This window comes from Homo sapiens, chromosome 2, assembly GCF_000001405.40.
Source record: "Homo sapiens chromosome 2, GRCh38.p14 Primary Assembly".
NCBI lineage: Eukaryota > Metazoa > Chordata > Mammalia > Primates > Hominidae > Homo > Homo sapiens.
The window spans coordinates 68,554,780-68,581,441 of record NC_000002.12 but is presented as its reverse complement, the minus strand read 5'-3'; the positions used below and the strand labels follow the sequence as shown (position 1 = coordinate 68,581,441).

The window sequence follows — 26,662 nt, the reverse complement described above, 5'->3', positions numbered from 1 at the left end:
TCTGCCAAATACTGAAGTTTGAATAATCATAATATGTCTGCCAGTCATTCTTTCAAGTAAAAATTTTGTTCCATAAAAAAATCTGTTAGTTCATCCTGCAACTCAATCACACCAAGATTTTCTCATGACTGAGACTGTATATACTTCAGTATACAGCCAGAGGGGTATTTCTGTTACACTCTAGCTTCTCCTTCTCTGACTGGTCCCATTCTATCCACTATGTTATTTGAATGCTTGCCTCATTGCCTTTGTAAAATCTTTTACTGTAGATACCATTTCTTTTTCTTTTTTGTATCTTTCATGGTATTTAGTAGTCACTGTCACTGAATGAATAAATATCCTATTGTCCAGAATAGAGAGTAAGCACATTGAAAATAGGGACTCTATGTTATTCTTTGAATTGCTGACACCTAAGACAGTATCTTGGGCACAACAGAGTATAAATGTGGTTGTTTATGATGATAAAGTTTATTATGTACATTATATTAGGGTGGCCAATAATAATCTCAATCATAATTATTCCTTATCACTTTACTTTCAGTACATATTGTAGAGGTGAAGCTTTGTAGGCTAGGTTTGTAGATTGGCAGGAAAAGATCCCCCTCCCCCACATGCACACACCATTATGGACTCCTGGCCAACAAAGAGACTGAATGGGAATGAGGTGGTCTCACAGAGCAGGGCTGGATGCAGCGTGCTGGTGGACAGTTTCCCCCTCAGTGAGGTGTGCTGGTGACACTGAACAATTAGTTGTAAGAAACTACCCATTTACTCTCAGCTTTACATCAACATTCTGGAGTAATTATGCTCACAATCTATCTGCTTTCATTACAATGAATGTTTAGGATCCTCTAGTTCTAGAAACTCAGTATCAATAGGGCCATCCTCAACCAGGGGAAAACACCAAAGTCAGTGTTCAAGTGTCCCCCAAAACTCTTCAGGTCTCCAGTTTCCCAGGGTCCTAGAAAACCCATCCCCCCTCAAAAGTTTAGCCAGAAAATATTTGCTTTTAAAATTAGGCACATAGGTGAGAAATGTATATATGATAATTTTTACCATGACAGAGGAGGCTGGGATATAGTTTCAGTTCCAGGAACACCATGACAGGGAGAATTGGCTCTTATCCACTGTATAGAACAGCAATTAATTTAAAAAATCAAGCTTTGTTAATGGTGCTCTTGAGACCACTGACAGCCTAATGTTACCGGTTTTCCCTCTGTTTTGGAAAACACAGATCTAAACACAGTCCAATTACACTTTCATTTTCATTACACTTCAGTCAATTAAGCTATACATTTATTTATACAATAGTTATACTCAAAAGTGTCTTCAGGATGATTATGAAAGTTGCATTAAAACTGTATCGTTAAAAGCAGCTACCATGAACTATTACATTACTACGAAGAATATCCTTTGATATTAAATATTTTTTTCCTTCTAAAAGACTGGTATTACCCTTTGCATTACTTTTTTGTGACAGATTTATTGAAATATATAGTTCACGTGCAATGAAATCTACCCTTTGAAAGTGTACAATGCATTGTTTGTAATATATTTACAGAGTTGTGCAACCATCACTGCCATCTAATCTTAGAACATTTTTATCACTCAAAAGGAAATCCTATACTCATTAGCAGTCACTCCCCATTCTTCCTCCCCAAGTCCCTGGCAACCACAAATTTGCTTTCTGTCTTTATGGATTTGCCTGTTTTGGAAATTTCATATAAATGAGTTCATACAGTATGTGGCCTTTTGTGTCTGGCTTCTTTTACTTGCCTTCAAGGTTCATCTATCTTGTAGCATGTATCAGTACTTTATTCCTTTTTATGACCAAATAATATTCCATTGCACAGATATACCACGTTTTGCTTATCCATTCACCCAGTTGATAGTTGATAGACTTTGGGTGTTTATACTTTTTGGCTGTTAAGAATAATGCTTCTATTGACATTGTGTACAGTTTTTATGTGGAAATGTTTTCAATTCCTCTGGGTATATACCTAGGAGTAGATTATGTAACACTTCAAGGATTAAGTTAGTGGCAGGGATGAGAATAAGTTAAATATTACATTCGTAGATTTGTTATACTACCAAGGCTAAAGGGACATTATAAGGGGAAAAATAGTTCCCAAATAACAATAAGAGATAAAAATCAGAATAATAGGTTATAGTCTAGAGAAATGTTTATCTTATTCTTGTTCCAGTTTAAGTAAATATTAAATATTGTATAATTACTGGGAGATATATTTTAAAGCAATGAGAAAATATTATTATAAATATGTTTTGATCTTTTAAGATATAAATTTTTAGGTTCCTTTAGAGTAGAAAATAATAGCATTTAACAAAGATTCTTTTGGCTTAGTGATTTATGATTTCAATAAATATCTCCTGCTCTGTGTACACAACCCAACTGTTATTAAAGATTCTAAACTACATTTTAACAATTCAAAGTCACGTAATATGAAGAGCATTATAGGGCTTAAAGTAGTTTTAGAACAGAAATACAGAAAGATACTTTGTAAAACTGGAGAATAAGTGGTTTCTTCTTGATATGGGAGGCCAGAATCTTGAACTTTCAACTGGCAAACAACTTGCTACTTTCATCTGAGGTCAAAAAAACTAAGGCAAAACTAATGCCATTTGAGAAAGTTATGTCGTTTCTCTATTCTTAATATAAAGACAGCACACTGAGAGTTAAAATAATCAGCTAGGACTTTAGTTTGAAAAAAAAGGTCAAGTTTTTTGAGTTTTTTTACTTTTAAATTCAAACATACAGTAAATTGCAGATGTGGAACACAAAATAACATTCCCTACATGGTGAACATTTCTCTTCTACAGCCTAGTTGAATCTATTTTCAGTACCCATTTGGAACCAATCTTCCCAAGTTTTGAAGGATAAAAGTAGTAAGTGAAATTGCAAAGCTCACATCTAAGGTACTAGAAAAAAAACGCCATTATGTAATGGCTGCATTTTTTAAAGCCTGGTTCTGCTTACAGAATTACTTCAGTAACAATGAAAAGAGGCATGTTTTCATGTACTTTGCCTGGTTATACTTGCAGAGTACTCCATAATCTTTGGAAAAAAATTTAAAAAGACCAAAGTTTTATGCAACCTATGGCTTTTACTTTTTATTACCAATATACAAAGTACATAAAAAATATCCATTTTTACTCTACCTTCTCTGTCTTCCTATTTCCAGATGCTTTAAGTAGGAAAGAAAAGGCAAGGCAACAAAAAATTCCATCTATTATACTGAAGGCTGACGTTTCAATGTCTCATTTGTAAAGAGTCAGTAGTAAAAGTCATTAACTATCAAAAGAAGGAAAATAACTGTCACTTAAGTACCTCCTTAGTTCATAAATGTTTTCCCACAAAGAAAAAGTAAATGTAAGGCAGATATGACTACAGAAGTTAGTTACTATTTTCTTTTCATAAACCTTTTTGCTTCTTTCAAAAGCTCTTCCACATCTTCCTTCTCTTCATCTTCCTTTCCTGGTTCCCAGTCAGAATCTTCATCTGTTGGCTCATAGTCTTCTTCCTCATCATCTAGAAAGCTGTCGTTCAGGTCATACTCATTGGGTTGCCCAACATTATCATTATCTTCATCTAAAACATTTCTCACTGCAAAACAGAAGATTGGTACACAACACATCAATCACCACTCAACCTGGGATGACAGACATCTACCTATAAAATGTCTTTCTGCATCCAGAGGATTAATTTTATTAATGCATAGCTTACCACTACAAATTTCTGGAAACGGCACTAAAATGATGCTTTGTTATTTATTATTCTAACTTTTCCTACCATGAGGCTCCTGAAACTAAAATGACCCATGAGATTAATAATAATGGTTCCTTAATCTCATAATCATATTCACAACATCCCATCTTCCCATGTGGTAGAATGTATTTTTGTCCCAATTATTCACTGCCCCTTCCTGTGATATGATTATACTTCCTCACTTCTCAGTGATTGCTCAAAGAAATGTGAGTGGAAATAGTGTGTGTCACTTCCAAAAGGATGCTTTAAGACTCTTTCTCTGGTTCTGCTATTGCCATTTCCCCTCTGCCACAAGAACAGCATGTCCCAGATAGAGGCTGATCCCTCAGCCTGGATTCCAAGATGAGAATACACATGGCACAGGGCCACAGCCAATTCACAGCTGCAATAAGGAGAAATACACTTAAATAAGTGTATTTATTGTTATAAGGCACTGAAATTTAGAAATGTTTGTTATCACAGCAAACCTAGCAAAAGCTTGCTGACACATCAGGGCGTGAGCTTAGATACTTTGGAAAGTTTAGTTTTATAGGTCTAAGATATTCTTACAGTTCATGTTTCAGTAAGACTAGGAATGCCATAATAATAGACATTAGAATTTACAGATTTCTAAGTAATATTATAATACTAGAATTCTTCTGTCTCCAAATTCATTTCTTCCCCGATCTTACTCTTTCCACAGCGAGCTACAGAGTTGCTTTAAAATAAAGCAGTGAAAGACTCTAGGACAGTGTGGAACATTTAAGAAACAATTAGGAAGATTTCATCTAGAAATCTGAATGGCAGAGGACAGTCCCTAATGAACAGCAAATGTATAGGTTAAAAACATTAATGTCTGTACTTTAGTATACACTTTGGTTAACATCTTTCTAAAATGTTCACATGCAACATATAGTTATAATTTTAAAAATAAAGTCAATGAATTGGGAAAAATGAGAAAAATGACAAAGGAAGTAATGTATCTGTCCTTTTAACCCTTATAGCCCAATATATTTATATTTTTCTTAATATCAGTACGCATTCCAGAAAGGATTTGAGACAGCTTATAATAATAAAATGCTAATAAAGGTAGAAACCAAAAACATAAAAAGCAGAATACACATATGATAACCTCAATTTTTAACACAATTATTAAAAATAGAGCATCAAATTTATCCCCAAGATTCTTGGTAGCCAAGGCTAAAAAGGCAATATAATAACTTGCCCAATTATCATTATAGTAGGAAGCTCACCAGTTCCTTAAGGAAAATCTTGCATTACATATATCTGTATATACAGCTCCTGTAAACATCTTGAGGGCATGTTTTATGTCTAATCTCAGTTACCCATATTTTTAAAATAATAAAATGCATTTTTTAAAAATTGGAAGGCAGTTTGCAGTCGGGAAAGGGAATGAGAAGGAAAGAACATCAATATCTCTATTTTTGTCTATTTTCCTCTTGGAAATACCTTATACACATAACTTTTTTTTCTAAGATGTGAATGCACATTATCACATAACATGTCCTAATGATATCTCAATAAACAGTTTCCTTTCAGATTCAGAAATCACTTACCAGCTTTACAAGAAAAACAGATATAAAGGTGAAACAACTCCAGGTTCTCTGCTCACTTCATTGGCTGCTCCTTCTCAGTTTTCTTTGCTGGATTTTCCTCATCATCCTAATCTCTAAATTTTAGAGCTGGAACCTCTTCTCTAACTCACTCCTTAGATGATTCCATCCAGTCTTATGTCCTAAATTCCCAAATTCACATCTTAAGCCCTGACCTACTGCCCTGAATTCCAGACTCATTTATCTGGATACTTAAGCATTATCTGTACTTGGATGACTTACAGGCACCTGGAATATAACATTTCCAGAACATAACTCTTTAGTTGCTTTACCCAGATCTGGTCATTCTATTTATCAGTCTTGAATATATGACTTCTCTAATCATCCAACCATCTAGTTGTTTTAGCAAGAAATCTTGTAGTCATCCTTTAATATCCCTCACCGAGAACCCAACATCTAATACCTCAAGAGATCCTGTTAGCTTTACCTGCAAAGTAAATCCACCACTTCTGATCACATCCACTCTAATGCCCTGGCCCCAATACTATCATTTTCTTCCTGAATACAATATCCTCCTAACTGGCTCTCTTGCTTCCATTCTAGTCTATTCTTCACAAAAAAAAGTCAGAAAACCTTCCAATAGCTTTCTGTCTCACTCTAAATAAAATCTAAAGTCTTTATTTACAGGTCTCAGCTTTGAAGACTCTACTCAACTAGCCCACTGGTAGTTTTCTGATCTCATCCTATGCCATTCTGTTTACTCACACTGTTCCAATTCTATTTGCTCTTTGCTATTCCTAGAACAGTCCAAGCATGGTCATCACCAGGGATTTTAAATTCATGATTCCCAACGCCTGGCATATTCTTCCTTAGATAATCACCTGGCTTGCTCCCTCCTCCAAGCTTTGGCTCCAATGTCAAATTATCAGAGTGCTTCTTTTACCATCCTGACATGGCATTCCCCATACCATGTACACACCCTTGCTATTCTGTCCTCCTACACAGCTTATTTTTCTTCTAATTATCAACACATGACAACAAATAATTGCTTGTGTGTCCACTGCCCATCTGTGTACAATTCTGCAAGAGCAGGGCTTTGTTTCTACTGTGTCCTTAGCTCAGACAACAGCGCTTAACATGTGGGAGCACTTAATAAATATATTTGTTGAATATATCAATGAATGAATAAATGAACCATTTGCAAATCAACTACTGAACATCTTTAGTTTTACAGAAACTCTTATTTTAGCCTACACTTTTGATCACTAGCCTGCCAGTCAATATAATGAATTACATAAAAGACTTTAATTCTGCTAAATGAAGCCTCAGTGAACCCTGGAAATATTTAGCAACTTATTAAGAAGCCTCATTTGTTGAGGCAGTAAGACCACATTAATCGGAAGAATTTTGTTTGTTTACTCAGAAAAAAGTTTATATCTGTCATCACTTACATTTTATGTTTACCTTTACACATTCATGTTCTTCTTACAGGAAGTCCAGAATCTAACAAAACCATCTGTAACAGAATTCAACGTGGCTAGTAGCCAAATGTAATCCACCTTAACTCACATGAACAGGTACTTTTATACTTTAAGTGAAAACACTTGAAGAGCCAAGTCATGACATGAGCACAAAGTCAGCTCTAGAATTCAGCTCTGTGTCCTGTTAGTGGTGTCACACAGATCCTTCATAACAGGGTTATAAATGCTGACATGTGATTATCTTTGTGGGACCAATTATTTAATAGATTATACTGTGGAAAATTCAATTAATAACTTTAAATGTTATATAAAACAAATGCTACCTAGATGACTTTCCTTTTTAAAAAATTGCTAGTAGAGTCTGAAGGTGTTTTTAGAGAAATATCCAATTCTGCCTTTCAGTGTAACTGGGCCAAAAAAAAAAATTAAACTTTACTTACCTGGAAAATACTCTGAATACTGATTTTTACAATAACACACGTATTCTCATTACAATATTCCCAAGTAAATTTATCTTAGAAAGCTTCCTTTTTTTTTTTTTTTAATTTGGGTTAACACTTCTAAGTCCAGGTAAACTTGAAAGAAATAAGTCTTTTCTCTATTTTTGCCTAGAATGCTTATAAATTTCTTCCTGCTAGTTACTGCTGCTCTCATTTGATTGTCTATGAGAACCTGAAGTTGTTCCGGCTTTTTATCTGTTTTTATTGTAAAGCTGTTAAGTGATTTCTGAATCTGAAAGGAAACTGTCTTATTGAGATATCATTAGGACATGTTATGTGATAATGTGCATTCACATCTTACCCAACAAAAAGACTCTTTAAAATAGCACAGTTTAAGAGAAAGAGGACTAGACCAGGGGTTAGAAGTCCAACTATCTGTGTTATAAATGAACTCATGACAATGAACAAGTCACTTAACCTAATGGAAATTACTTTTTTTTTTTTTTTTTTTGAGACAAGGTCTCGCTTTGTTGCCCAGGCTGGAGTGCAATGGCACAATCTCGGCTCACTGCAACCTCTGTCTCCCGGGTTCAAACGATTCTCCTGCCTCAGCCTCCTGAGTAGCTGGGATTACAGGCCCCCGCCACCACGCCCAGCTACTTTTTGTATTTTTAGTAGAGATGGGGTTCCACCATTTTGGTCAGGCTGGTCTTGAACTCCTGACCTCAGGTGATCCACCCGCCTCGGCCCCCCAAAGTGCTAGGATTACAGGTGTGAGCCACTGTGCCTGGCCGGAAATTACTTTTTAAACTACACATCAAACATTAAATGATCACAAAGATATTTCTAACTCCAGAGTTCTAATTTTAAGGCCACAACAGGAACCTTTATTTTCTCTACAAATCAGTGAAGTAAAATGAAATGTGGACAGGGATTGACAGCTTGACTACTTGAAGCCAGCACTGGAGAAATAAGCTGTCACTGGTTTGTAAACCCTGATGGGTAATGCTGATCTACCATGGTGATGAAAAATAACTTTTAGAAAAAATAATAAACTCTTTAACATGTTTAAAACAACATATTATTTACTATATGGGATTAGAATGTGGTAATTTCTGATTTTTTTATATATGCAGAGGAATTTGTAATATGAGAATGACAATTCTAAATGTTTTTCTGATATTTCTTTTACAATTTAAAATTTCACTGTTAGTTCTTATCCCAAGAACTAAGTCTTCAAACTACTGCAGAGTATACTGTGTGACATACATGCCAGAAGAAATGTTGATTTTGCATGGAGAAAAATCTTTTCAAATTGCAGTGTTTTGTTTTGTTTTGTTTTGTTGAGACAGAGTGTTGCTCTGTTGCCCAGGGTAGAGTGCAGTGACACAATCACGGCTCACTGCATTTTTGACATCCTGGGCTCAAGTGATACTCCCACCTCAGTCTCCCAAGTAGCTGGGAACAGAGGTGTGCCCATCACCACAACTGGTTAATTTTTTTTATTTTTTGTAGAGATGTGGTCTCACTCTGTTGCCCAGGCTGGTCATGAACTCCTGGGCTCAAGCGATCCTCCTGCCTTGGCCTCCCAGAGTGCTGGGATTATAGGCATGAGCCACCACACCCAGCCAAACTGCAGATTTTTACCAAAGTTTTTTGGTGTTACATCTAAGATGACAGGTGCTTCACAGCAGATTAATAGCTTAACATTGATAATTCTTCATGTTTTCTTTTCTTTTACTTTCTATTAAATCTTAGGACTAATTAGGATGTTAATTTTTATTAAGTAAATAAATATTTTGCCTCAATATTCCTAAAGATGAAAATTTACTATATCTACAAGAACAAACATTTTTAATAACGCTTCATTTTACTATTAAAGAGTAATTTTTTTAAATGCACTAAGCAACTAGTTGGTATTCATATTTTATTTTGTATATTTCTGATCTACTTTATTATATATAAAGTTCATTTCTTTTTATAATTCCATTGCATCAGGCTTTCTCATATTCCATATTCTCTTAGCTTTCCACACATTAAGCAGCAGTTTATAGAATTTCATGTAAATCCCACTAAGCCTCCTTAATAGTTTTCTTTCTGGATCTTTTAGTTTCAACTTCTGAATAAAAAAGTATATATAAGCACATACATGTATACAATTGTAGAAATAGAGAAACCTTAAAGTAGCTATCAGTGGAACATTCTAAATTTTCACAAATGGTATCAATCACCTAGAATAATACATATCACATAATAATAGAGGCCAGAAAGGAGGACCCCAATAATTAGATAAAATATTGATGATAATTTCCTTTAAATGTTGTCAACAGGTGAGGCAGCTAAAAAAGAATAAAATTCTTCAGAATTGGGAAAAACTACTTTAAAGTTCATATGGAACAAAAAAGAGCCTGCATTGCCAAGTCAATCCTAAGCCAAAAGAACAAAGCTGGAGGCATCACGCTACCTGACTTCAAACTATACTACAAGGCTACAGTAACCTAAACAGCATGGTACTGGTACCAAAACAGAGATATACATCAATGGAACAGAAGAGCCCTCAGAAATAACACCACACATCTACAACTATCTGATCTTTGACAAACCTGAGAAAAACAAGAAATGGGGAAAGGATTCCCTATTTAATAAATGGTGCTGGGAAAACTGGCTAGCCATATGTAGAAAGCTGAAACTGGATCCCTTCCTTACACCTTATACAAAAATTAATTCAAGATGGATTAAAGACTTAAATGTTAGACCTAAAACCATAAAAACCCTAGAAGAAAACCTAGGCAATACCATTCAGGACATAGGCATAAGCAAGGACTTCATGTCTAAAACACCAAAAGCAATGGCAACAAAAGCCAAAATTGACAAATGGGATCTAATTAAACTAAAGAGCTTCTGCACAGCAAAAGAAACTACCATCAGAGTGAACAGGCAACCTACAGAATTGGAAAAAATTTTTGCAATCTACTCACCTGACAAAGGGCTAATATCCAGAATCTACAAAGAACTCAAACAAATTTACAAGAAAAAAAAACAACCCCATCAAAAAGGGGGTGAAGGATATGAACAGACACTTCTCAAAAGAAGACATTTATGCAGCCAACAGACACATGAAAAAATGCTCATCATCACTGGCCATCAGAGAAATGTAAATCAAAACCACAATGAGATACCATCTCACACCAGTTAGAATGGCAATCATAAAAAAGTCAGGAAACAACAGGTGCTGGAGAGGATATGGAGAAACAAGAACACTTTTACACTGTTGGTGGGACTGTAAACTAGTTCAACCATTGTGGAAGACAGTGTGGCAATTCCTCAGGGATCTAGAACTAGAAATACCATTTGACCCAGCCATCCCATTACTGGGTATATACCCAAAGGAATATAAATCATGCTGCTATAAAGACACATGCACACGTATATGTTTACTGCGGCACTACTCACAATAGCAAAGACTTGGAACTAACCCAAATGTCCAACAATGATAGACTGGATTAAGAAAATGTGGCACATATACACCGTGGAATACTATGCAGCCATAAAAAAGGATGAGTTCATGTCCTTTGCAGGGACATGGATGAAGCTGGAAACCAACATTCTCAGCAAACTATCGCAAGGACAAAAAACCAAACACCACATGTTCTCACTTATAGGTGGGAACTGAACAATGAGAACACTTGGACATGGGAAGGGGAACATCACACACTGGGGCCTGTTGTGGGGTGGGGGGAGTGGGGGAGGGATAGCATTAGGAGATATACCTAATGTAAATGATGAGGTAATGGATGCAGCACACCAACATGGCACATGTATACATATGTAACAAACCTGCACACTGTGCACATGTACCCTAGAACTTAAAGCATAATAAAAATATATATATATATTAAAAAAAAAAGAATAAAACAAAATCTTCCTGGTACTGGTTACTTTTGCATTCAATAACTTGTGCAAAAATTGTAGCACTCGAAAAAGTGTGGAGACTTAAATAAAATTTTAAACCAATTATATATACAAGAAACTTAACAAATGACAGGAGTCCAACCTACAAGAAACAGAATGCACTATATAAACTGTTACATGTATAGAAGAACCCTATAGATGAAAGTGTTTTAGGGGTATTACAAATCAGAAATTAAAGAGTAAGAATTTAATGTAGTTATTTTAATGTTGGCACTATATTAATAATTGTATTATCTTGTTATATATGTTCTTATGATACCCCCACCTCAAATTCAACATGTTTAAATGAAAGCAAAAACAACAAAACTCCCCAGTTCACCCTATTCTCTATCATGTGTCTTCTCCAGTCTCCTGATAATGTGTACTATAATCCTGAGTCATCCTGACTTCATTTACCTCATCCCCATATCACAGCCAACTGATTAGTTGGTAAATCCTCTTGATTCATCCTTCAAAAATCCCTCTTGTATCCAATCCAACCTCTCCATGTTCATGATGGCCGCCCTAGTTCTAACCCTTTATTCTACCTAACTAATCTCCAGGCTTCCCCTTCTCTAATTCAAACTGTATTCACCAGCTTGATTTTGGTAAAATATTGGCTCATCATTATTTGCCAAAGTGCCCATGTCTTTGGTCTGGCTGTTGAGAGCTTCCATAATCTAGCTTCAATACACCCTTTTAGCATCAGCCACAGTAGCTATAGAGACTTTCCACATCAATTAAAATGATCCACTTGCTAACTCCAACTACAACACTTCTACCTTGATGTCTTTGATTGATCTATTTCTCACTTTGCCTGTGATGTCCTATACCAATCTCCCACACAGCAAAGAAACAAAGGTGACTGAAATCCTACCATCTTAAAGGCCAACTTTTACTTAAAATTCTCATATCAAGTCTACCTGATAATCCCCAGCAGAAAGTACTCCCTCCCTTTCCCTGGAGATTTCAGAGCATCTCACGGCAAGTTGGGAGACCCAGAGCTGGTTCCCATAACCACAATTACGAGCCGGCTCTCATCTCTCTGTAGCTTTGCTCACATGGAAGACATTCAACAAAGGAATATGTGAATGTGTGAGTAAATGAATCAATACATAGCTGAGATTAACATTTGGGGGTACTGTTAAATTTTAATGATTTGGGATACAAGAAAAACAAGTATGTTAGAATTCTGTATTAGATATCTCTAAATCAGAAAAATACAATGATACCTCAACATTTAATATTTGAAATACTCAAAATCCCCAATTTTTAGGTTTTGTAGGGTAAGAGATGTTCTGACTATATTGCCACATAGCAACTTTTGAAAGTACATTAAAAATATGACTAAACCTATAGCCTTAAACTTATTCCTTTAAAATATCTATACTTCTATTAAAAATGCTTTTCAATAAAGTTTTCCTTTAAAAAGTTAATTGTCCTAAAATATGTTCTTCATTCAAAAAATACTTCAATAATTTCAAGAAATTTTTCAACAAAAATTCAGATATTTTTAACTATGCTATATGATGTGTAGTCATAGTTTTTAGATAAATATTTCCTATTTCTATAAAGTTATATAAATGTGTCAAATGCTCTTGCATGGGACAATGCTATAATTTGTCAACAATATATACTTTTAATCAAATACAATTACATTATTTCTAGAAAGGAAGACTTTATTAAACTACCATAACTGCCACACCATGAGATATGACCACAGTAAAGAAAGTATAATATATAACATGTAACCTCCATACTATGTTAGCTCAGATAAAGGGAATATTTTTATGTCTGGAGTACTAAAGCACTAAAGTGTGTTTCAATAAGAAATGTCAAATGGAATTCCCTTACAGTGAAATCATTTACTTTCATCACTTACTTGATTACAAGTCAGCTGTTTGTATGCACATATAAATGCAAGTGAGTGCAGCCTGGATAGTATGCATTTTATTTTCTCATTCTGTGAGCAGAAATATTATGCGCTGAATCAGCCTCTGTATTATATGAATGATATGAAAAAGCCAGATTTTATTAAAGAAGAAAAATACAGTTTAGAAGCATAACAAACAGAAGGTAAAACAGATTGAGGTAAGTAGGACAGAAGGACATTTGATGGTTGCTTCTCTGGTGTCTCTCCCCCTCCTCTCTTCCTCAAAGCTCTAGCTTTTATTGGAGATGGCTATGGTTCTGATGAAGGTGACTCCATTCTGGTTTCAGGAGCGGTACAAACTAATCAGTGGCCATGGTGATTGGATCAAGGTTAAGACTGTGATCTAATCCAGTAATAAAAAGTGAATTTTCTGATTTTTCCTAGGAATCATGAGGGTCAAAGTTGTTTGTATTCCTTACGGGTGATTATCGTCCCAGCTGAATAAGGACACATAAAGTCCCTCGTTGGAAGAGGAGCCAGCCTTAGGATGATAATGACCCCTCTAAAGACAGAATGAAGGAAAAAATTGGGTCTTTGGGGACACTATTGACATTATTAATGAGCCAAAGCAATATAGCTTATCTAAATCCAGCCCTAGCTCTGGACGTTTTAGTTACAGAAGTCAATTATCATTTAGGCCAGTTTGAGATTTTGCTTTCAGGTACTTGCAAACAAAAGAATCCTAAGAGATACAAGGCAAATATATATTGTGGACAATGGGGAAAGCATTTGCTATACAAAAGGGTCACAGTTGTGTTTTTTTTTAATATAAGAAAAATCATTAAAATCAGCAATTCAACAAATTCACAGAAGCAGAGATTTTAAAATATTTTCATAATAACTGGAAACTAGGTTTAATAGGAAAATCATTTAAAGGTTTCATTTTGAATTTTCTGAAGTAAACTTACTTACCTGGAAGCGTATTATGTCTATATTCTATCTTGTGCTGGGGATTCTTCCTGAAAGAAGAATGCAAAAATAAGAGCTAGTCTTCCAATTACTAAAAGTTGATGACTATTTACACTAAACCAGAACACTGACTAACTTACAAATAAACTTAGGACCCAATAGGCCTCTTATGAAAAAGCATTTGTTGTTTAATTACAATATTTCCTGTGTGCCTACTCCATGCCAAGCACATTTCTAGATGCAAAGATAGAGTGATGAAGAAGACAAAGTTCTTACCTCAAGAACTTATACTCTAGAAAGAGGGAAAAGACAAAATATATATTTCCATAATATATCATATTTTTAAACTGTCATGTATCACATATATGCAAATATAAAATAGAATCCAAAACTATGACACAAATATCAAATATGTATTAAGTACATATGTGCCTACAGTATTAAAAAATTCTAAGGCTCTTCTTGAATCTAAAGAAAACAGTATTCTTTCAAAAGAACACCAATCACTTGTTATGAAAAAACACAAAAGTTAATTTTGTTGATAAATTCAGATAACATATTCTGAAGTCAAACAAAAAAAACATATTCTGGAATCAAACAAAAAGTGTTTGAAGATCTATTTTTGATTATACGTACTTATGATCCCTTCTATTATTTTGTTAGTTAAACAAATGTTTGGGTACCCTATATGTACAAGACATTCTCCAAATATCCCAGCAGTAAAATCCAAGGCAACAGATTCATCATGACCAAACTGACTGGTACCCCTTTCTTAGGGAACTGACAAAGCACAGCTGGGGTACACTAACAACAGATATGTGCTGAGGTGACAACTTTCGAATATACCTGTGTCAGGAGTGATTATTTTTACATGACAAATGTTCATTTGTTCATTCAGCAAGTATTGGCTGAATGTTTCACTATATTCCGGCTCTAAGCAGGCAATGAGGATAAAATATTTAACCAGATACACATTCTTGCCCCTAAGGAGACAGAGTCTGGGGGCAGGAGCAAGGTAGACATTAAAGAAGCACTTTCTTCACTGAAAAATAAGAACATCTTCTGTGAAGATAGGAAATACTCCTTATAATATATCTTTTAGGGCACAGGAACTAAGTCAAGCCTTAAATCTTCTCTTTCTCAGGCTAAATAACATTCGTTCTTCATTTTCTTTCTTTTCAATAGGGCAAGTAAGGCAATTTTTAAAAAGTATATAACAGGTAAAATATGACTTTAAATTTTTCTATAAATCCTCCCATTCAACTTTATAATTCCACATCTACTGCAGTGGAGAAAAATGGCCAGTCTCAGGAAGTGGATCTCTAGCCCCGAACCTAGTCTATGAGTCATAGGATGTAAATATGTACTAGGAATGATCTCAGAGCAGATACTTGCCTCCTCCAGGTGACAGATGAGCAATGTGAGCCTAAGGAGATGAAGTTCACCCCCAGGTTTGTGCTTTCCAACTTGGGTAACGAACATATTAAGAAAGACGTCCAGGCAAAATTATGGACTACATTCTTAAAATATCTCTGAAATAATCAGGCGATTAAATTTTCCACTTATAAATTCCTTTATGAGTCTATTGTAAAAAAATGTATCCAACTGCTTTTTCACCATTTAAAAAAGTATAGTGTGTTTAAAATATTTCATAATAAAAATTATACTTTAAAAATATTGCATTTTTTCCTCCGTGCCTTCGATACTATTGTGATATTGGTAAACAAAGTAAAATAATTTCTAACAACATAGAACCATCTGCTTGAAAAATATTTGTCTTCTTGTTTCCAGCACTGCCTACTATATTTGCTCCAAATATTAACTTCTTTTATCTATGTATGTATGTATGTATGTATGTATGTATGTATGTATGTATCTATCTGTCTATCTGTCTATCTAACTATCCATCCATCCATCAATCCATCTGTCTTAGAGACAGGTCTCACTCTGTTATCCAGGCTAGAGTGCAGGGCACAATCATAGCTCACTTCAGCCTCAAACTCCTGAGCTCAGGTGATCCTCCCACCTCAGCCTCTTGAGTACAGCTAGGACTGCAGGTATGGGGTCATTGAGCCCATCCTAATTTCCTGTCCCTCCATCATAATTTGTTGGGCAATAGGAAGTATTATAAATACATAAATTTAAATTACTTGATAAAACCAAGAAAAATAGAGTGTTATTGCTTTTGAGAGCTGTGATAATCATGAAATCTATTTTCCGAGATAGGTTTTAACTAGTGTTACTTTCAAGAGTTTCAACTGATAACCCTGGAATCTTTGTAATGCTATCCAACAGAACTTTTTGTCATGAGGGAAATTTGCTCTGTGTTGTCCAATAAAACCACTAACTGTATGTGACTGTTAAGCACTTGAAATATGGGTAACAAAGCTGAGAAAATGAATTTTAAATTGTATTTAGTTAATTCATATTTAAATGTAAACAGCCACATGTGGCTAGTGGCTATCATATTGGACAACAGTTTTAATTCAAAAACCAAGAAAAGAGTGATCCTCTCTCCTCAGCCAAGATTAATTACAATTAATCCTTCTCAAACCACAGCCAAACACCCTCTTTCTTATGAAGTGACTCTCAAACGAAGTAAACATTCTATAGGTAGAAATGCTATGATTGAAAGTATGAGGTTAGTGACTATAGTCAGAAAGACCCCATTGGAATCCTGACTCAGCCACCTCCCTGCACGCTGTCTGAGCTTCAGTTTTCCCACATGTAAAAGGGAGATAACAACAGAACCCATACTCACAAGAAGCTGTTGTGAGGATTCATGAGATAATGCAAAATAAGTCTTTAATCTAAGGGCTTGGTAGGTGTTAAATAAATAATGTTAGCCTTTGATCCCTTCATTATTAGCTCAAGAAACAGTTACAGAATACTTATTACATGCCAGGCCTTGTGTCAGTGTGACACTCATCCCTAATCTCTCTTCTTTCTGGTAACTTTTCCTACAATGCAAGTATTAAACACAGTGCAAAAGTGTAACTCCACAGTTAATTAAGGTCCTAATTCAACAGCTTTGAAAACTGGAAAAAAGATTCTATACAAGATTGTGTGTTTAGCATAACTAACCCAAATTTGACCTTTTGATGAAAAAGAAATTTAAACTTGAAAATAAAATAAGCTGTACAACTTAGTTGTGATGAAGACAGCTGCAAATGAACAAAGCTATGGTGACGATTTGTGGGAAGATCTTTCCTACTGACCATGCTGGTGCAGGTCACTGACTTAATTAAATTCAGTCTTTATTAAAGTATAATTAGTGCTGGGCATCAGGAACGGAGAAAGATAAAAATGGGGAACATTAATACCAAAGATATTTTTCATCTTTACTTTAGAAAAAATGGTTACTAGTCATTTGAGATTTTCAGTAAATTTTATTTTGAAAAAATTTCATACCTACTTTAAAAAGCAGGCAAGACTAGTACACTGAAATTCCATATATCTTCATCAAGATTTTTCAAGTGTTAACATTCTATATGGGTGTCTTACTGTTATTATCTATCTATAATCATTTGAGATTAAGGCTTTTCCTCCTTCTTTTAATATATGTTTGCTTCGGGTACCAAGCAGTTCTCTTTTCCTGCTTTGCCCTTAACAGTTAAGTAGGATCATTGAAAAGTTGAATATGGTCTTAATTGTTTGCTACTTCAAAAGCTGCTTTAGAAATGCTCAAGTAACTAAATGTCAGGCTTTTTAAATAAAGTACAGTAATGAAACCTAAGGAGTTAGAGACTCAAGTATGGTTTAAGCACCAAATACCGATTAAACAACTGCTGACATCAGTTGTCAGGCTAGAAAGATTAAAAAGGAGAGTAACTTTTTAAGAAGAGAAAGTGAAGACAGAGTATCACAAAGTGGGGGAGTGGGGTTCAACTTAAAAGTTTCAGAAGGTAGTTCCTCATTCTCTATTATCCTGGAAAACATTCCCAGTTGCACTCGCATGCACCATCTGCATCCACCAACCTCACATCCTACTTAGGAAAAGGCAAGTCATTTCAGAATAAATGAGCAAATAACTATGAAAGAAGTGTTACATTTAATTATTCCAAAAAGGAAGAGCAGAAAATGTAATGTGAAATTTTATATTTTAAAAAGGGGAAAAAATGTTAGGTACATGTACAGGTTTTCATCTGCCTTAGAAGGGGAAAGTTGTTTCTTTGAGAATCTTCCATCCTTTCCTAGAACGTGCTCTTTTCATAAAAAGACAGGTAAAATACTGTAATGCAGACCAGAAGAAACTAGCTGAGTTGGTGTTTTTCAACTGGACACTGAACTTCCAACCTAAAGCAAAAGAAATAATATCGATAAAACTTTGCCAGCTATTTCACTGAAAATGAAGGAAAAGAGTATCTATGACAGGCTCAAAAATTTGCTGTTGGGGTATTTATTCTCTTTGATGGTAAACAGAACTCACAGAATAGATGGACTTTAACAAGAAAATGAGCCCAAACAGAAAAGATAGTTTATCACACACAAAATCACACACTCAAAAACAAATTTTAGATATGTTTGGTTTACATAAAAATTTAAATGCTAAATTGAGTCTTCAAAAGCTACATTCTTAAATTATCTTTTCCTTCAAGGTCCTTCATAATCTCAGTGCCAATTATTAGCAGCTCAATCTTTTGTTTCTACTCTAGGGGAGTACTTTGTGATTCTTCCCCATTTTTATGAACTTGTTCATAGCTTTTTTGCCAAGTATATTCTTCTAACTCTATACTACTACCTAAGTTCAAATCATATCGCTTTCATGAAAGTAACTTTAATAATCACTGGGAAATAGCTCCAGAATATATTGTCTATATTTACCACTTGGTACCTACCATGTCATTTCTTGTCCTGTCATCTAAATTTTCAGCACACATACAAACACACACTTGCACATGTATGCATTATCTCTATCATCTGTCAAATCAGCGGCTGGAGGGCATGAGATTTTTCTTAAACTTTTTAATATCTTTCATAGCACCTACAAAAGTATCTCTCTCCAGCTGGTTTTCAATTACATTTTTCACAGATCAGTCCATCTATTAGAATATAATCAACCTTTTTCCTTCAAAAACATGTTTTAAATTAAGCTTACACATAAGTTTTCAAAATGAGTTTTGTATCCTTTGACCAATACCTCTCCAACCCACCCCTCCTTCCAGCCTCTAGTAACCACTATTCTGCTTCTATGAGTGGGAAGTTCTTAGATTCCACATATAAGTGATACCATGTGGTAACTGCCTTTCTGTGCCTGGCATATTTCACTTAACATAATGTTCTCTAGGTTCATCTACCTTATCACAAACGGTATCATTTCCATCTTTTCTAAGGCTGAATTGTATTCCATTGTGTATATATACCACATTTTCTTTACCCCTTCATCCACTGATGGACACTTACATGGATTCCATCATTTGCAACACAAACCAGAAGTTTAAAATTCTCATTGGTTGGAGTACAAAAAACAGTTTCTAATAATTTCTGGACTAAAACTTTCTCGAGTTAATGCTAACACTTATAATTTTTTATTTTTAGTAAACCCTAATCTATAGATTCCAATGATTTTCAGAAATCTACCCTTTGAAAAACAGTTTTTCTGTGGGATATGTTCCAGGGAATGGCTATTCTTATCAGGTTAAAGATACTGTCAATGTGCTGAAATCGCTCTGCACTCACACCTATAAAGTTAATAATCAAAGTACTCATTAAATCTTCTTACACAAACCCAAGACTAAAATATGTCAGAATTTCCTGCCATTAACAACGCACATTACTTCCTCAGGAAACAATGAAAATATGACACTCATATTAATCAGACTCTATTGCAATCAGATTCCTGAGATACAGACTGCTCCGCATTGTAAGACACTTAGCTCTAGTCAATCAATCACTCAGTTCAACCAGAAACACCAAGAGTCCTCCACAAATGCTGAAGATGTAGATGCCACAGTGTCTTGGGCCTGTTCTCATCTGGCAATTTAAACTTTGGATCACTAGCATTATGTTGTGAAAGGGGCTCAGATTTCAAGATCAGGAGAGCTGAGCCTAATTCAAACTCCACTGTTTATTGGTTGTACAAGTTACAGCAACTCCTTTGAACCAACTCTCTTTCCTCATCTGAAAAGGAGGGATAACACTGTCTACCTCACATAAGATTGTTCCAAGGGTTAAAGTAGTGTGTATAAAAATCTGCATGCTATTAAGCATTTTAGAGATATCAGTTATTCAGATAGACATAAAAATCAATTTTACTTTAGGATATTCAACAATGGCTAGAAATCCTATGTGCTGGTAAAAGTCACTGTCAATTAATATTAAATAGCTGAATTTTTCCTTCAATAATATATAAAATTCCTGCTGAATATTTTCCCTGTCATATCTCACACATTTATATAATATTTTCTAACATCTGTCTATGCATATTCCATTTTCGAAAGTCAGTTATTTCATAACAAGGCAAAATACCTTTTGCATGTAACTCTAAGTCAAAGCTAAATGGCAACTCTGTACAACTCTTTGGGGGAATACGAGCATTTGAAATAACTTTCAAGGGCAATGCCAAATTCCACCAGATCTTTTTCCTAACAATGAAGAGGATTACTTAATCAGAGCTCATTCATAAAAGATTTACATCAACCTTTTTCTCAAATGGCATTTTCTGTAACTCAGCCGGTCTCAAAGTCCTTTTTGTTTTTTTCATTGTTAATTATTAACAGTTTGAGATCTAAACATAAAGCTATATAACCATAACCACATCAGATTTTTGTGAGCTGCTGTATTTTAAAATATGTATTTTCAAAAACATTATTCTGATTTTAATGATGTAGGTGCATAAGTAACAAAAAGTTTAGGTAATAGCTTATTTAAATACTGTAAGGAACATAGTAGTTTATAAATTTTTCCATTATGACAAAGTTATAAATCTTTGTAATTATAATAAACCAATGGAAAATTTGACCCTAATATTTCCTGATGATGCTCCTACAAACCATGTTTAAATAGAAATAAATAAAACAGTCCTATTGCCATCCATTTCACTCAAACTGTCTATCAATAAAAATTCACTGAATACCTACTATATGCCAAGCACTGTTCTAGGTTCCAGAGACTCAGTCAGTAGTAAACAAGCAGAGAGTTTCTGCTTTCATGGGGTTTATATGCTGGTGGATAAGACAGTAAACAAATATATATTTATAATTTCAGGAAGTGATTGCCATGAAGAAAAATAAAGAGAAGGATATAGAGAGTGATTGAACATACAGGTAGAGAGGTCAGAGACGGCATTTCTGAGGAGGTATATCACACACATATCTGAAGGAAGAACACTTAAGGAAGAGGAAATAGCAAATGTCTTTATATTTGCTGAGGCCCTGATGTGAAAACAAGCTAGGATATTGGGTAAAACACAAAAACATAATGAAGATTGATACACTTCAAGGGGTATAGTAAAAATGAAAATAGTAGGAAATGAAGTCAGGGAACTTGTAAGCCATGACAGTTTGTTATAGGAAGCCACTGGAAAGTTATGAGTAAGAAGATACCATGAAACGACTTATCTTTAAAGAATTGCTCCAGTTGCTATGAGGAGAATGAACTACATGAGGACAAAAGAGAAAACAGGGATATCGGGAAACTACTGCAGTATTCCAGGCAAGAGAGGATGGTGGTTATGACTGGGGTGGTAGAGGGCAAAGGTAGAGGACCTAAGAAATGAACAGGTTCCTAATATATTTTAAAGGTTGGAATGGCAAGGACTGCTGATAGACTGAATGAATGATGTGAAGGAAAGAGAAGAGTCAAAGGTGCTTCTTGGTGAAGCACCTGAATACTATGTGAATGGTGGAGTCATTTACAGAGGTAAAGAACACTTGGGAAAGAGTTGTTTTCATGATAAAAATCAAGAGTTCTGACTTAGAGGTGGTAAATTTGATCTACCTATTACACAAAGTGGAGGCACTTAAACATATGTATCTGAACCATTAAATTGAATTAGCTCGCCTAAGAAATAAGAACAGAAAGGAAGAGATCTGAGAACTGAGCCCCGTGGCTCTGCAATATTTACAAGTAGGGAAGAAAAAGAGGAGACAGAAAAGAAGGCTAAGGAAGGGTAGCAGGCACATAACTGAGCTGACTTTATGAATATGAAGACACTGCTCTCTGCTCTAGATCTCTCCACAGTGAATCAAGACCCCCCAGAGCACAAGCAATCCACCTCTGTATTTTTCATGTTTTCACAAGAAACTGAAACCCAGGAAAATCAACTAGCTGATGCAAAGTCATGCTACAGAATTAGCATAACCATAACTAGAACCTAAGTCTGCTAATTTAAAAACACTTTATCACTTTGTCATAAAGAAGTACCTAAAGATTAACTAGACACTGGTAGCAACAACAGAATAATAGTTTTTAGTTTTATTTACTTCCAAAGATTTGCTAACTTAACACCATGATTGTAAATGAACCTGAAGAACTGTTTGAAAACCAAACACCATATGTTCTCACTTACAAGTGGGAGCTGAACAATGAGAATACATGGACACACTGGGGGGAACAACACACACTGGGTCCTGTCGGTGGTGAGTGGTCGGGGCGTAGGCAGAGGGAGAGCATCAGGAAGAATAGCTAATGGATGCTGGGCTTAATACCTAGGTGACGGGTTGATCTGTGCAGCAAACCATCATGGCAAATGTTTACCTATGTAACAAACCTGTGCATCCTGCACATGTACCCCAGAAATCAAAATAAAAGCTGAAGAGAAAAAAAACAGAACTGTTTTACATAAGCTCCTAGATCAGTGACTAGAACATTTTAGATGCTCAATATTTACCCAGTGGAGAAATGAACATACTATATTTTTGTCCTATCAAAACAAAATGGTTTATCTTGCATTTTTGAAATTCAATATGTATTTTAAAACCTGAAGCAAAACCATAAATCCCACATTATCAAAAATCTAGGTTTCAAAATTTAGAAGAAAAAGGAAAATGTTTAAATATGGTCTTTATTAAATAAAAAACAAGTAAACCAGCATAAAATAGTAAAAAGTACTCACTTTGTTACCTGATAATTACTACAATTTACTATGTATGCCAAAATAACTCTGAAAATTTTTATATATGTGTAATTAACAGTAAATATAACAAAGAAGAACAAATTTATTATTATGAAAATTAATGCACATTAAATGAAAAACAAAACCACGGAAGACATTCCAGTAAATTTTGTCAAAGCTACATGAATATAATTGATGTTGTTACTGTAATTTCTAAATGAAGTTTAAAAAAATTACAGCGGAGTCTTATGTAAAACTATGTAGCAAGTGATTAATATTTAAGATAGTTTTTTTCCAAGATCATATTCTTATGTACAATTAAAGAACTGTAAGCATGGCAAATGATGATAAGTTACTTTCTATATATGCAGAACCTATAAAAATGGATTAAGGTGCTATCAACTTTGACTATTTTTTTTTTTTTTCAGATGGAGTCTCATTCTATCGCCCAGGCTGGAGTGCAGTGGTGCGATCTCAGCTCCCTGTAACCTCCACCTCCCGGGTTCAAGTGATTCTCCTGCCTAAGCCTCCCTAGTAGCTGGGACTACAGGTTTGCATCACCACACCAACTAATTTTTGTGTTTTTAGTAGAAATGGGGTTTCACCATGTTGGACAGGCTGGTCTTGAACTCCTGACCTCAGGTGATCCACCCACCTCAGCCTCCCACAGTGCTGGGATTACAGGTGTGAGCCACCACGTCCAGCCAACTTTGACTATTCTTAACTACAAATAGATTGATAGCATCACATGACTGATTCTGAAAATCTTAACTACCTGATAACTAGAGGTCTCCTTATGAAGATTTATTTTTGCTTCATGAAATATAATCTGGATTTATACTAAACAACACACATTCTTATTTTTTGTTAAGTGGTTTCTAAAAATCATTATCTTGCAGCTTGAAGTGTACATCTGCAGATATAGTCAGCCCTCATAGCTGGATTCAGCACCTGCAGATTCAACCAACTGCAGACTGAAAATGTAGTTAGGTCTACAATGATTGCATCCTTACTGAACATGTACAGACTTTTGTTTCTTGTCATAGTTCCCTAAACAGTAAAGTACAATAACAATTACATAGTATTTACATTTTATTAGGTATTTTAAGGAATCTAGAGATGATTTAAAGTGCATGGAAGGATGTGTGTAGGATATATGCAAATACTATACTATTGTACATAAGGGACTTGAGCATCCCCAGATTTTGGTATGCCCTGGGGTCCTGGAACCAATCCCCTGCAGATACCAGGGACAGATTGTACTTTCTGTCAATTAAGATAACATTACAACAACTTGGAACACTTTTCAAAAATAAAAGAGGAACTAGCAAAAAATTTTAGATCATATCAGGATCAGCAAATAAAAAATTATTGATTTACTCACCATCACATATATGTCTTGAGAAAATGGAATTGTGCTTGTGGTAAAACATTGTGTTCTGTCACACTACACAGGCCATGTTGCAGATTCAGTATTACACTGAGAGCACTTATAGTTGATAACTGACACACCTCCTAAGGCCTTCCCTCTCAGAAGACATTATAATTTTAAAAAATAGGACACTAGCTTCTGAAAGACATCAAGACACCAACATTTTCATCTGCATGACACATGGTAGCCTAAGGTTTTGTAATCCAAGGCAAGGTACATGATTGTGACTTTACATTCTTACACCAAGTTGGTTGAAAATAGACTCCATTCATATCAGTGTGTTTATATTCTAAGATAAGTGCTTAATTCAACAAGTAAGAACAGGAATACACACTGCATAAAATCCTATTATTCATCAGAGGAACTGAATGAGTCAGAGGGAAGAACAGCAATCACTGGACATTAAGTATCCAATGTTCTAATTCAGACAAGTGCCTTAAACTAATGAAATCCATTAAACTGAGTGAGTCTTCTGATAAACAGCAGTGGACAGCACAAAAAGAATAAATTAGTTGACAGGCAAGATACCTTTTTTTATTAAATTTTTTTTATTTCCATAGGTTATTGGGGAACAGGTGGTATTTGGTTACATGAGTAGGTTCTTTAGTGGTGACTTGTGAGATTTTGGTGCACCCATCACCCGAGCAGCATACACTGCACCCAATTTGTGGTCTTTTATCCCTCACACCCTTCCCACTTTCTCCCCAAGTTCCCAAAGCCCATTGTATCTTTCTTTCTTATGCCTTTGCATCCTCACAGCTTAGCTCCCACATATGAGTGAGAACATACCATGTTTGGTTTTCCATTCCTGAGATACTTCACTTAGAATAATAGTCTCCAATCTCATCCAGGTCACTGTGAGTGCCATTAATTCATTCCTTCTTACAGTTGAGTAGTATTCCATCATACTTTCTTTGCACTGTTTATCCACTCGTTTATTGATGCGCATTTGGGTTGGTTCCATGTTTTTGCCATTGCAAATTGTGCTGCTATAAACATGCGTGTGCAAGTATCTTTTTCATATGACGACTTCATTTCCTCTGGGTAGATACCCAGTAGTGGGATTGCTGGATCAAATGATAGTTCTACTTTTAGTTGTTTAAGGAATCTCCACACTGTTTTCCATAGTGGTTGTATTAGTTTACATTCCCACCAGCAGTGTAGAAGTGTTCCCTGTTCACCACATCCACACCAACATTTATTATTTTTTCATTTTTTGATTATGGCCATTCTTGCAGGCGCAGGGTGGTACTGCATTGTGGTTTTGATTAGTATTTTGATTAGCATTTCCCTGATCATTAGCATTTTAATTAGCATTTCCCTGATCACTAGTGATATTGAGCATTTTTTCATATGTTTGTTGGCCATTTATATATCCTCTTTTGAAAATTGTCTATTCATGTCCTTAGCCTACTTTTTGATTGGATTGCTTGTTTTTTCTTGCTAATTTGTTTGAATTCATTGTAGATTCTGGATATTAGTCCTTTGTCAGATGTACAAATTGTGAAGATTTTCACCCACTCTGTGGGTTGTCTGTTTACTCTGCTGACTGTTGCTTTTGCTGTGTAAAAGCTCTTTAGTTTAATTAAGTCCCAGCTATTTATCTTTGTTATTATTGCACTTGCTTTTAGGTTTTTGGTTATGAAATCCTTGTCTAAGCCAATGTCTAGAAGGGTTTTTCCAGTTTTGTCTTCTATAATTTTTACAGTTTCTGGTCTTAGATTTAAGTCCTTGATCCATCTTGAGTTGATTTTTGTATAAGGTGAGAGATGAGGGTCCAGTTTCATTTTCCTACATGTGGCTTGCCAATTATTCATGCACCATTTGTTGAATAGGGTATCCTTTCCCCACTTTATAAACACAAACATCTTTGTTGAAGATCAGTTGGCTGTAAGTATTAGGGGTTTTTTTCTGGGCTCTCTATTCTGTTCCATTGGTCTATGTGCCTATCTTTATGCCAGTACCATGGTGTTTTGGTGACTATGGCCTTATCGCATAGTTTGAAATCAGGTAATGTGATGCCTCCAGATTTGCTCTTTTTGCTTAGTCTTGTTTTAGTTCCATATGAATTTTAGGATTTTTTTTTCTAAAACCCTAAAGATTCCTCCAGAAAGCTCCTAGAAC

At 35.1% G+C, this 26,662-nt stretch overlaps 1 protein-coding gene across 1 annotated transcript in view; it reads right to left on the bottom strand.

Moving 5' to 3' along the window:
- Positions 1 to 1,279: 1,279 nt before the first annotated feature.
- The window catches only part of APLF (aprataxin and PNKP like factor), a 112,578-nt gene continuing 87,195 nt past the window's right edge, over positions 1,280 to 26,662 (bottom strand). The window contains exons 9-10 of the mRNA NM_173545.3: positions 14,055 to 14,101; positions 1,280 to 3,622 (exon numbers count right to left, since the gene is read on the bottom strand). Coding sequence (NP_775816.1) covers positions 3,420 to 3,622; positions 14,055 to 14,101 — 250 coding nt within the window. The 3' untranslated portion in view covers positions 1,280 to 3,419. The remainder of the gene's footprint in view (positions 3,623 to 14,054; positions 14,102 to 26,662) is intronic.